This window comes from Homo sapiens, chromosome 20, assembly GCF_000001405.40.
Source record: "Homo sapiens chromosome 20, GRCh38.p14 Primary Assembly".
In the NCBI taxonomy this organism is placed as follows: domain Eukaryota; kingdom Metazoa; phylum Chordata; class Mammalia; order Primates; family Hominidae; genus Homo; species Homo sapiens.
Window position 1 is genome coordinate 18,698,835 of NC_000020.11, and position 12,966 is coordinate 18,711,800.

General features: G+C 43.0%; 1 protein-coding gene across 1 annotated transcript in view, besides 1 other annotated feature; it reads left to right on the plus strand.

Moving 5' to 3' along the window:
* The window catches only part of DTD1 (D-aminoacyl-tRNA deacylase 1), a 178,591-nt gene that overhangs the window by 110,781 nt on the left and 54,844 nt on the right, over positions 1 to 12,966 (plus strand). The gene's annotated exons all lie outside the window — the stretch shown is intronic.
* Positions 811 to 958: a silencer, noted in NCBI's record as "fragment chr20:18680289-18680436 (GRCh37/hg19 assembly coordinates)". NCBI's record gives its function as "represses an EF-1alpha promoter that drives an FKBP-Casp9 reporter gene in an ReSE screen in phorbol 12-myristate 13-acetate-treated (for megakaryocytic differentiation) K562 erythroleukemia cells {active_cell/tissue: K562(+PMA)}" and the evidence as "EXISTENCE:reporter gene assay evidence [ECO:0000049][PMID:32094911]".

Genomic DNA, 12,966 nt, shown 5'->3' on the forward strand with positions numbered 1-12,966 from the left:
GGCCCGAGCCCAGGGACTCCAGGGCTGGTTACTTTGGCAGCTCCCAGGTGCTGGGGTTCTGTTTTCCTCTCTGTCCTCTACCTCATCTCCTCTTGGTTACAAAATGGCTGCCACAGCAGTGCCCTTACACCCTCCACGTCTGTGTCCAAGGCAGGCCAGAGGGTTGGTGTTTCCTATGTCCTCTGGGCAGAGCTGGGTTACTGTCCAGCAGGTCACCAGGGAGTTTGGGAAAGTGGATTTGTGGCATTTTCACACTCTGGAGTGGAGTTGCAGCAGGAGAGGAAGGCTATTAGGTCAAGAGAGCCTGCCTTAGGGGCTCTTATTTAATAGCCTGTTTTACATGTGAAAAAGCTTTAGTCTCTAAAAGCTTTCTCCAAAACCACAGGTAGGCCATGGCAGAATGAAGCCTCCAACCCAGGTTTTCCCACCTGAGGCAGCGGTGTTCTTTTCCCCATCTGTCACCTTGAGTCTCTGTGCAGGAGGCTTGGGTGGAGCAAATAGAGGCCTGGAAATGGGTCAGCAGTAGGAACAGAGAAGGCCAGAGAAGTGGGAGATGTGGAGAAGGACCCTGAGGTGACAGCAAGCCTTGAACAGGCTAACAGGGACATGGGCAGGGGCAGCTTTGGGGTTTTCGCGTGATGCCAGCAGGACAGTCATGGGGAGGTCCGGCCTTCAAGTTTCTGTCAGATCTCCCGCGTTGAGGCAAGTCATCTGTTAGAGGTGGTCATCAGGGAGGATGGAGCCCAGCTTGTGTGGGGATGGCTATAAAGTGGAAGAGGAGCCAGGGAAGTACCTCAGTTTGGAAGCCTAGTGGGAGAGACTTTCTAGAAGGGCAGCTCCATGCTGTCTCACTGTAAGAGGCTGAGGAGGTGAGCATTTGGAAAGTACCATTGGGCTTGCTGGCCACACAGTCAAGAGTGATCATGTGTGTGTTTGTGTGTGTGTACGTGTGTGTACACATATGTATCTTAAACTTACTTTGAAATAATTCCAGACTTAATGAAGTTGCAAAAATAGACCAGAAGAGTTCTCATATTCCTTTTACCCAGCTTCCCGAAGTGTTAATGTTAATGATCTCACATATCTGTAGTAGTGATCAAAACCAGCAAGTTACTGTTGGTAACATAGCATTAACTAATAATGAATCTGCAGGCCTTATTTGAATATTGCCATTGTCCCACTGGGTCCAGAATCCAATCTAGAATCCCATGTTCATTTAGGTGTGTCTCAGCCTCCTCCAGTCTTACGATCTTGATACTTCTGAAGACACAGGCCAGTTATTTTTTAGAATGTCCCTTAGTTTGGGAATTTGATGTCCTTGGTGTGCCATGTCAGGGCACATGGTATTGATGTGTCTCATGACTACTGATGCTGACCTTGATCACTCACTTGGTCAAGATGGTATCAGTCAGGTTTCTCTGCTGGAAAGTTACTATTTGTTTGTTTCTCAAGAGAACATTTCTTAAATGGACTTCTTAAAACACAGGTTCTTTTTAGTGGCTCATCATTTGACTGTCTTCAGTAGCCTCTGTTGATGTTTTTAAAAATCAAAAGAACATCCACTTGGTTAGAAAATTCAAAGACGGAAGATTATTAAAAAATAAAATTCTCCTCATTGTATATCCTCCTGAAAAATTTCCTGTGCAAATAGTGGTGACCTTTTTTTTTTTTTAATTTTTGATTTTTAAAATTTCAATAGCTTTTGGGATACAAGTGGGATTTTTTTTGTTATGTGGATGAATTACATAGTGGTGAATTCTGAGATCTTAGTGTACCCGTCACCCGAGTGGTGTACATGGTACTCAATATGTACTTGTTTATTCCACACCTTCCACACCCACAGTGACCCTTTTGACGTGGCGTCAGTGGCATGGTGGAGGTGGCAGTCAGGGCTTCAGTGGACTGAGATTCGATTGGAGGGTGTCTGGGGAAGTGAAGACTTGGACTAAGGTTCCTGGAACTTGAGGGTGTAGCAAAGGCTCAGAGGAAGGGGGACCTTGGGAGGAAGGAAGGCTTTTCACAGGACAGGGTTGCGTGGAGACTGGCTGTAAAATTACTTTATGTACAAAGGACTACAGATGAGAGGTGGCATCAGAGTAGCGCCTGACTCTGTGAGGTGAAAAAGCTACTGCTGTTTTCCCATAGTGTTTTTGGAATATTTTTCACAATGGTCAGTACATACTAAAGCACATGTTAACTGATTTTTCATTTATTACAAAATGACAGGGTGCTGGATTCTCTCATTAGGGATGGTGAGCCCCAGAGAGTTGTTGTTTATGGGGGCATTGGCAGGGTTCTGTTCCCACACATTCAGGCCAGAGATTTGGTACCCCTGCCTGGTGCTTTGCACAAGAACCTAGCATTGTCTGTGGGTGGGCACTCTGGGCCACAGAGACACAGGTAGCTGGAGGGCAGTTTTACAGCTGGAGAGAAAACATGTTACCTAACGGACTTGGTTTAATGAACTCCTGATGAAAGAGATGTACTAACAAGCACCCCAATAAGGGGGGCATATAGCAAATGTCTTTTAGAAATAATAGAAATGGTCTTCTTTAAGTAGGGTAGTTCCTAATGATTCATTACGTCCTTTGCCAGACCCTGGCCATATGTTTTGAACTTGTTAGGTCTTCTCAACAATAGAATTTTTGCATTATGCCTTTTCTTCCTCCTGTGCAATCTTGTGGGCAGGTAGGAGCAACAGAATGCGGGTGGTGTGGAGGACAAGGGACATCCCAGAGCCCTTGGTTCTATTGCACTATGTGAGCTGAATGCACCCAGGGAGTCTGTCTGGCCTTTCAGTGTCGGGGAGAGCAGTAGGATGGGACCACGTGGGACATAGGCCTGACACACAGGTCATCACTTAGAAATGAGCACTGGACTTGCCCCAGTGCCTGGGATGCAGTAGGCTTTCAGTAAATACTAACTGACACATGAATGTTCTGTGTGCTTGCTTTGGCTTCTCCTTTTAAAGAATCACCTAATAATTCTTTAAGTCTCTCGAATTGCCGATTTGTCCTTCTGTCAGATAAAATGCATGAAGTAAGCTGATGATTCTGAATAGGAACAGAATACGTTCTTGGTTGATTTAAAGTATAATTTAGAGTTTTTCATTTTGCTTAGAGCTAATATACAGTGCGATGCCTGAGGTCCATTGTAAAATCTTGCTATGTAACCTAATCATTGTTGACAGGAGAAATTTGTCTACAATCATTTTAATCTGTTGCATAATAAATATTTAGAGAGTCTCTTATTCACTTCCATTTTAGACAAAGCGTCTATTTGTACATCCTTCAAAATGGTCAAAGATGAAAGGGAAGATCCTTTTATTGGTCCCTCAGGCCAAGACAGAGGGAAGGACTGATAATCTTTTCAAACCAAGAAAGATTTTGGTTTCCATTCCAACATCCCTGAGTAATCCACAACTGTGTATGGTACTCCCGCCCCCTTCCCTCCATCTCTGTAATAAACTCTTCTTCCTTAATTTTAATTTTCTTGACAATTGAACCCTTCAGTTGGGTGCTATTTGGCTTTATCCTTGTTTTAAATTTCCCCTTTTCTCATTTCCCAGACTGGGCAGTTGTTGAGTCCAGAATTAACTGGGGAAGTTGGCTAATTTAGCAAGGGCTATAGAATAAAGATCTAGATTAGATGCAGGCTAGAAAAGCCAGGCTGGAGTACATACTAGAGACCGCAGAGACATTGATCTACTGCAGATCAGATTTAACTCCTCAGTAATATCAGGTGTTGTGGCTGCCAACACAGTGACCAGGAGCAGGTTGGTCTTTGATGTCTCTGTGTCAGCACCTGAGGCAGGGATACTGAAGAGAACATGCCTGCCATATAGGATAGGAATCTGGTCACAAAGGTATCACTAGTTCTGTTGGAGTAGAAATCACATCTGGAATGAGGCAAAAAAAAAAAAAAAAAAGGAACTGTCTACAAAAATTTTAAAAGAATTGGCAAACTAATGTTTTTCTTAGCAGATGTGCCTTTGCCATATTCCTAAGGTTTCCCTCCCTGTCAGTCATGCGTCCTGTTTTATGAGACCCATTTCTCCTGGGGCCTCTGACTGGGCCGCTGCCTGGACCTGCCCTCTGGGCTGCTGCCATCCAGCAGGAGTCCATAGCTTCCTTTCACTGTCCTGCTGGGTGGGTCAGCTTTGTGGATCCTCCCACCCCCGTCTTCATCTTTCTTGGGTTTCTTTTTTATTTGTGCTGAAGTCTATTTTCAATAATTTTTTTCCCTAGAAGAATGTTCAGAATGTAAATCTTCTGCCTTTTAAAAAATAAATCTGAAAATGTCCCTATAGTCCTTACACTTGACTGTTAGTTTATATGGATGTAGAATTCTAGGTTCAAAATTCTTTGCTTCAGAATTCTGAAGGCCATGGTTCTGCTTCTGGTGTTTCTATGAGGACTATTTACTGACCATATTCTCACCCTTGGATGGGAGCTTTTCTTTTTTCCTTCTGGGTCGTGTGGAGACCTGTCTTGATCTTGGTGTCCTCAAACTTCATGAAGATGTGTCCCATTTTCATCCTTTCTGGTAATCTAGGTTTCTTAAATCTAAATTCCCTTGCCTTTTCTTTAGCTTGAGGAAGCTCTCTTCTTCTATTATTGCTATTTTCAATATTTTCTCACCATTTATTTTTCTCTTCTCTCTTTCTGGAAAGCCTAGAGACCAGTTGATAATCCTCCCAGGTTGTCATTTTTCTTAAACTTTCTCGGTATTTTCCATTCTTTTTCCATTTGTTTTTTTAACCCCATGGGGCAATTATTAAACTTGAAATTATTAATCTCCCAACCTTTCTACTAAGTTTTTAATTTTGGCAAGCAATTTTTAATATCCATGAACTCATTTTTTATCATAATTTCTGCTTTTTCATAGTATTCAGTTTTTTTTTTTGTTTCTGTTTTCTTATTTTGTTTTTAGGGGTATTATGTTTTCTTGATGTTCTCTGAAGATACATACTAACTGAACTTTTAAAATACTCATTTCTGTTTGCTGAAGTAGCTTTTTTCCCAGAGTCAGTTCTGTTTATTCTACTCAGTTTTTTCTTTTGAGCTCTAGATGTGCCCCCACATATCTCGATGTCTTTGGCTGTCTGTTCATATTAAGAACACTGGCCAGGGTAGATTAACATAAGTAATCATAAGTAGTTGGTAGCTTTTTTTTTTTTTTTTTGAGACGGAGTCTCGCTCTGTCACCTAGGCTAGAGTGCAGTGGCGCAATCTTGGCTCACTGCAAGCTCCGCCTCTGGGGTTCACGCCATTCTCCTGCTTCAGCCTCCTGAGTAGCTGGGACTACAGGTGCCTGCCACCACGCCTGGCTAATTTTTTGTAGTTTTAGTAGAGACGGGGTTTCACCATGTTAGCCAGGATGGTCTCGATCTCCTGAGCTCGTGATCCTCCCACCTCGGCCTCCCAAAGTGCTGGGATTACAGGTGTGAGCCACCACGCCCAGCCAGTAGTTCGTAGCTTTACAGGCAGGTCATTTGGTCTCCAGTGAGCCTCCTGAGCAGGAGGGTAGCTGGGCATTCAGTGTATGTGCTTACATGGGCAGAAACCTTAGAAAAATGGCACAGGAACTCCAATGGACTCAGGTTCAAAAGGGTGTGTGCAAGGGGTGGGGAAAAGATGCCTAACCAAGGGCAAATATGGGAGGGTAACCTCATCCTGTAAAATAAGCAGAGACAGAAATTCTAAGAACAGAAATTTTGTTGTTGTCACTGTTGTTTTTAAAAGTTATCTCTAGAGCCATGGTTCGCACCCATTTTGCACCTTTGGGGGCATTTGACAACTCTGGAGACATTTTTGGTTGTCACAAGTAGGGGAGGAGGACATGCTACCTACCAGCTTCTAGTGGGTAGAGGCCAGGGTTGCTACTCAACATCCTAAAATGCACAGGACAGACCTCACCCCAAAGAATTATCCAGCTCCGAATGTCAGTAGTGCTGAGGTTGAGAAACACCACTGCAGAGGAAGATGATCAAGGAGAGGGTGGGGCAGGGGAAGGAGATCAGGAAGCATGTCCGGAAGCATACAGGTTCCTATTTTGCCTGCACACTCTGCCAAGGGGAGACTTGGGTCACACTAAATAAGCTTCCATCTCAGAGCAGTTGTTAAGGTAGATTATCTGACCTTTGCTGTCCAGTAGCATGGCCACTAACCACAAGTGCTAAACTGAAATAAAATTACAAATTTAATAGATTTGCACTAGCCACATTTCTTATGCTTGACAGCCATTTGTGACTTCTGTACTGGATAGTGCAAAGATAGGACATTTCCATCACAGATAATTCGGCTAGACAGAGCTGGTCTAGACAGTATTGGTGCTGTTTTAAGGAACTTGAAGACTAGGAGTGCTGTTATGTTTAAAAACATAAAATTTTGCTTTTCAGGATATCAGGGGATAAGGAGAGTTTGAAACAAATTAACAATTGGTAATTTTGAAATTTTATAGATTGGTTGATCTGAGTTCATCACTATCCTCACACGTGGACATGGATTCATAATGTGCCCTCCAACACAAAAACCACTTGCATCCCCACAGCAACTCCCGCCCCTGCCTGTACCCTTTCTCACAGTTAATTCATAGTTAATATGAGAAGAGGGTTGGAACTCAAGCCAGTGGACAATGAGAGCAGCTTTAGGTGTTGTTCAAAAAGGTCCCCAGGAAGCTACCGCCAGGTTCAGGTACCATGGTAGCTGGTAGTGGTGGGTGAGTGCCTTTACTCCTGTGCTTTCCCAAAAGGATGGTGAAGAATCTGAGCCCTTTCATCACATGATGGTGAGCTCAGAGGCAGAGGCCTCAGTGGGAAGGATGAGCTGGACGGAAGTGATTCCACCGTCTTGGTGGTCAGGCTGCATTAGGAGATCTGCTTTGTGTGAGAATGACTGAATGGAATGTGGAGATGGGAGAGAGAAAATGCCAAAGGTTGGAAACATTGTTGGAATCTTGAATATGTTCTAAAAATGGAAGACTTTGCTCTTGTAGCCCAATGTATTCTAAGCTCATTTGCTGTTTTTTGAGCCTGTATCCTACTGAATGCAAAGCCATTTGAACCCTTCTTATGTGGTCCATTTTCTCTTTGGCTGTCTGTGTTATTGGAGCCATGACTGATCAAGCCTTTAGCTAGAACTCCACTGGAAAAGGGGATTAGCTTAGTGAGTGTGGCTTTCCTCAGTTTTCTTTTCACTCAGATTTGGATAAAGAGGATAAATGATAAGTAAAAAGCTATCAGCAGTTGTGTGGTTTGTTGCCAAAGATTCAGCAGTTGTTGGTTCGTTGCCAAAGATTCAGCAGTTGTTGGTTCAGAGTGGGGAATCCTGGGGTCATTACTGACCAGATAGCTTGCAACCCTTTCTCTATGTCAGGGGCTACACCAAGGCAGTTGTGTGGTTTGTAGAAGTAGGAATTGCGCCACACCCTGTGTTCATGGTACCAGATTTGCCTCCCCTCACTGAGGTTTGTTTGGGGGGATTGCTCTTCGTTGGCACCTGGAAAGACCTTTTTATGAAAAGCATCATTGAAATTAGAAGGCATAAATAAATAAAATATCATCTCTTTGCTGTTGCTTTAGACTTTCTTCTTATGGTAGTGTCTTTTGGAATAGAATCATCTTTTGATCTCCAGTAAACAGGTAACCTGTCAGGTGGGTGGGATTGCTCCTGAATGTGGGCAGTTCAGCATTTCAAGTTGAATTTGGAAGAGAAAAAGGCAAATTGGGCCTTCTTTAAGGGTGGAGAACCCACTACCTCTAAAAAACAAGAGTCGTTGCTTTGACAGTGATGTAGAAAGTTGCCTCTGAGGAGCTGGATTAATAGGTAATCTCTTGAAAAAATAGCACAGAAAATGACCTTTTACTTGTGTTCTCTGAGGCAGATCAAGTGGAGTTTATTTCTAGGCAGAAAAACATTTTGTGTGAATTATATCTAAGGAAGCAGTGTAACTCGGTGCTCAGTAATTAGCCCTGTCCTGGTATTTAAGACTCTGAAAGGAAGTGCTGCCATTGTAATTGAGTTCTTTTTAATCCCGTTAGCGGTGCATTTCCATATTTTAATTGAATGTTTCGGAATTTAGCAGGTGAAGCCTTTCTGAGTGTTGGCATTATCCATCAGGTGTGCCCCCTGGAGACCCCGTGTGCTGAGGGGGCTGAATAGCAGTGTGAGCCTCGGCCTGAGCAGTGGTGTGGGGTGGATGCCACTGCTCTTGGGTGGCCCCAAATGTCTCTCACTGTTCCCCTGTAACTTGCCACTTTTCACCTGGATGTTCATCACCTGTAAGCAGTTAACGTCTTTATAGTGAGATGCAGCGTTCAGACGACTCCCGTTTCCTTAGCTCCCTTAGACATGGTCAGGATTCCAGTTATATTCAGAAAGAGAGTTTCGTTCGATAAATAAAGCACATGATCATCAATTCTGGGAAATGCAGAGACCTGTTTCATCTCATTTCAAGGTTTTTTCCATTTAAACAAGCTCCTTAGCTGTTTAAAGCCACACACACAGTTGTTGTTTAAGTAAAGCAACCCTGGACGGACTGCAGTAGACAAGATTGTACCTTGAGTGCTCTGTGTCTGGGACTCACCCTGCGTGCTCACTCATATATGCACCTGGTCTTACCCAATATACCAAACTGTGGTGGTGGGTGTCTTGGAAATGTGCCAGCTTCTCTGGCCATAGAGTGCTGTGCAGTACAGCAGCACCAGACTCTAAAGGGAGCGAGCACTGATCAACTGGAAGGGTGAGTGGCTCTTTTCAAGGTGAACTGGTGGCTGTCTGTTCACAAGAAAGACTCTTTGGGCATCATGTGTTACAGGCTTATTGTCTACTATTGAGGGGTGAGTCTTAGGGCTGGTTCTTTTCTCTCTGGACTAGTGGGCTTTGCCGCAGAAACTCTTACAGTACATGGTAACACACACGCGCGCACACACACACACTCACACACTCTCTCACACACATGTCCTTATGCTGCTTCCTTTCCTTCTCAGATCAGCTGAAGAGAAGAGTAGAGGGGACTTGTCCCTTGGCACCTCTCCGACTGGCTTACAGGCCTCCCAGGATCAAGGTTTCCTTGTGAGTGTGTCTGGTGAGGGTGTGGCGTGAGGGGCACCTTTCCAGAACCAGCCAGTGTTTCCAACTCTCCATGAGTGGGCGGGGCTTTGGGCCCATGCATTAGGGGATGGTTAGGAGCTTGGGGAGACAGGGCCATTTCTCTGCCTCTTGAAATGTGCCTGGTCCCAATTGAGATGTGCCGTGGGTATACAGTACACACTGGATCAAAGATGTAGTATATAAAGAAGGTAAAATAGCTAATTATTAACATGTGTGTGTGTGTGTATATATATATTTTATATATATATTATATATATATTTTATATATATAATATATATATATTTTATATATATATAATATATATTATATATATATTTTATATATATATAATATATATTATATATATATAATATATATATTTTATATATATATTATATATATATATTTTATATATATATTATATATCTATATATATATTTTTTTTTGATACAAAGTCTCACTCTGTCGCCCAGGCTGGAGTACAGTGGTATGATCTCAGCTCACTGCAACCTTCACCTCCCTGGTTCAAGCGATTCTCGTGCCTCAGCCTCCCAAGTAGCTGGGATTACAGCCACGCACAACCACACCTGGCTAATTTTTGTATATTTAGTAGAGATGGGGTTTCACCGTGTTGGCCAGGCTGGTCTCAAACTTCTGACCTCAAGTGATCTGCCCGCCTCGGCCTCCCAAAGTGCTGAGATTCCAGGCATGAGCCACTGCGCCCGGCCACGAACTGCTGTAAACATTTCTAAACACTCCCATTTTTATACTTACCTCCTCACAGATCTGCACAAACAGTTCAGGGCGGGCAGTGGTCTGTTGCCCTTTCTTTGAGCAGCACTGGCTTAGAGGGCAATCTTTTCTAGCGCTGTTGTCAACATAAGGAGATACTGCCCTCCCACCTGCCCCCGTGGTGGCAGCAGGAGTGCCCCATACCTCCTGTCATCTCCATCAGTTCTGAAGGCTGCTCAAAATACAGGTGTTTTGTATTAAGTAAAAGCGATGGGTTTGCAGTGCAAATACAGCTTCAAGACTGGACTTCCTCCCCACTTAATCGATTGCCACTGCTGCGTCCCTTCTTTGTAGAACTTCTGGGGCTATCTCTGCCTGCCTCTAGGACAACAGTGCTTGCTGTTAGACTAGTTCAGACTGTCAGTCTTCACATGTTTTGCAAGCATATTGATGTACAGAGCGTGTTATTTCCCAGCCTCTGTTATAGAATAAGACCCTTTGAAAAGACTTGTACACAATAAATGTGATCAATAAATATGATCACAATAAATATGATCCCCCCTTTGCAAATTCCTTGCAAAGCCCAGGGTTTTATATTGGCAGCCCTGCACAGAAAGGTGCATGTTTATGTAAATCAATGTGGTATGTACCTAGGGTGATATAATCATATAATGAGCTGCAGCTTCTCTTCCTCTTCATCACCATCATCATGTTTGGGTAAAGATGGTTGCCATTTCCCTCCCTCATGGTCATTATTTCTGTATTACTCTCCATACCTCCTTCCATTTCTTTCTGGAAGGTGTTGAAAAATCTTTACCAACCATCTACCTGGCTCCTAAAGGTGCAGGTCATGGCTATGTCTGAGACTGGCAAGTTCTGTCCACAGGTCTCACCAGATGGTTGGGCAGTCCTCCATGGTCATCACCTGTGGGCAGACGGTCACTAAGGGCAATTGGGGGGACAGAATACCTAGGCTGATTGGAGTCATCCTTTTTTTATCAGAGTGCCAGGTAGTTGAATTTGTGTAAATTAGATGTTCTCATGATGCAATTTATAATACCCAGGTGTACTTGGTATAAAACTTCTCCTGGGGAACCTGACAGATGAAAACAGGGAATGGAAGCAGCTGACAAGTCAGGACATTCCAACTTACCTTCATGCCCAGAAGTTAGAGGTCAGGGAGGGGTGGGACACTTTCATTTGTGAGTGGTAGTTCTTTTTTTTTAATGCCTGGAAAACCATTAGAAAACAGGCAATCTGGAAACTTTGGGCCTTACTCCTAATTTCATTTTTGATTTTAGAATGTATTAGGGTAAATAACTTATTCTGCTTGTATTTGAGGATTTGCTGACTTCTGAGAGCACCATGTATTCACTTCCATTATGAATAGGGCAGCTTTATGATATATTGTCTACATTTTGGAGTATTGAGAATGAAGGGGACAAGAGGTATAAACTTTGATTGTCCTGGGCAAACCAGAACATGTGGTCAACCCTAGTTATGAAGATCAATTTAGGTTATTCATCCTAAAACCAGAAATTTTGATAGAACTGACAGGTTAGGTATCATGTCTTATCCTAATAAAATTTTCTATTAAAACTATGTAAATTCAGTTTTATGAAATAAATCTATACCAAGATCATTTCATAAAAAATGGACTTTTTGAGAAAATAAAAAATGACATTGTATTTTCAGAATCTTTCAAACATATTCTGATCTTTTTTTTTTAATTGACAGTGTTTGAAGGTAAATAGTGACCATGGTTTTTGTTAAGAATTCATATGTAAAATATGTCCCTTGTTTAAAATTATCTCAGAGATTACTCTCATTCAAATCTTTAATCAGTCAGTTTATTATTCATAAGTCTGGTGTTTCTAATAAAATTCTACCACATGAAACAGAATGGTGTTTAATAAGATAATAAGCTTTATAAAATGTAAAAGTGAACACCTTAATTATTTTAAATTATATCAACTTTAGAAATGACTGTATAATTAAGACTTGCCTATAGCTTAGAATACTCTTAGGAAAGATTCACTGTACTACTTCTCAGTCAACAGCCCTTAAATGCAGGTGGCTGACAGTGGCCTGTGTTACCAATGTAATTGGACGGTGACATGCCTCTGGCCCTGGATGATAGTGCCACCAGAGCCACATGCCTCCTGTGTAGAGCCAGGAAGGGGCTCTGTGAGTGAGTTGAATCATGGGCCCGTTTTCCCTGTGTTCTCTCCTTTGGCCATTTGAGGGTTAAGGAGGTTGGGCAGACAGTTTTTGCCTTGATGGGTACTGGATACTCTTGTATTCCTATGACAGTACTTGAATTTTTCGTGAAGTTACTTGAAATCACTTTGGTTACTTTGGGTCTGGATCTTATGATTTCTTAGGTGAGTCTGGAGCAGTGCTCAGTAGGACTAATTCTTCCCACTACTGCAGTGAGTCCTTCCTGAGCTCCATGGAGTGGTGGGAGCAGGCGCTATTCTCAGCCCTGTGTGAGCGCAGGTGTTGTAAGCACTAATCTTTTCCTGACCTTGTGTAGTTTCTTTACCTGCTTAGTACTCAGCTGGATGCTCCAGGGGCCTTCTGCACAACTCCACTGTTCTCCCTCTGTGCAGCTGTCTCCTCTCCAGTACTGTGTCCTGAGTGCTTTAGCTGAGTGGCCTCCGGGACTCTCAACCCCATCTCCTTTACTCAGGAAGTCCTCCAGCCTCTGCCTTGGTTTCCCTCTCATACTGTGACCTGTGAACTCTCCCTAGGTGGTCAGATGGAGCTCCCATGGGGCTTACCTGGCTTGTTGTTTCCTGGCCTTTGTTGCCTGAGGTCCTGTGTCTTAACAACTGTTGTTTCTTAGGCTTGTCCTTTTTTTTTTTAAACTTCAATGTGATGGTGTGAGGATAAATTTGGTTCCTGTTGGCCCATCTGGGACAGAAGCAGAAGTGTCAGGACAGTGTTTTTAAAAAATCATGATCTGGTGTAGGTTTTTTTCTCGTGAGCTGTTCTTACTCTGAGTCCTCTTTCTAGGTCAAGGGCGGTATCTGGGTTGCCTTGAAGTCCTTCCTGCTTCATTGTGCTTATTTAGGTAGAAACCTTATTTAAGAATCAGCTCAGGCCAGACACAGTGGCTCATGCCTGTAATCCCAACAC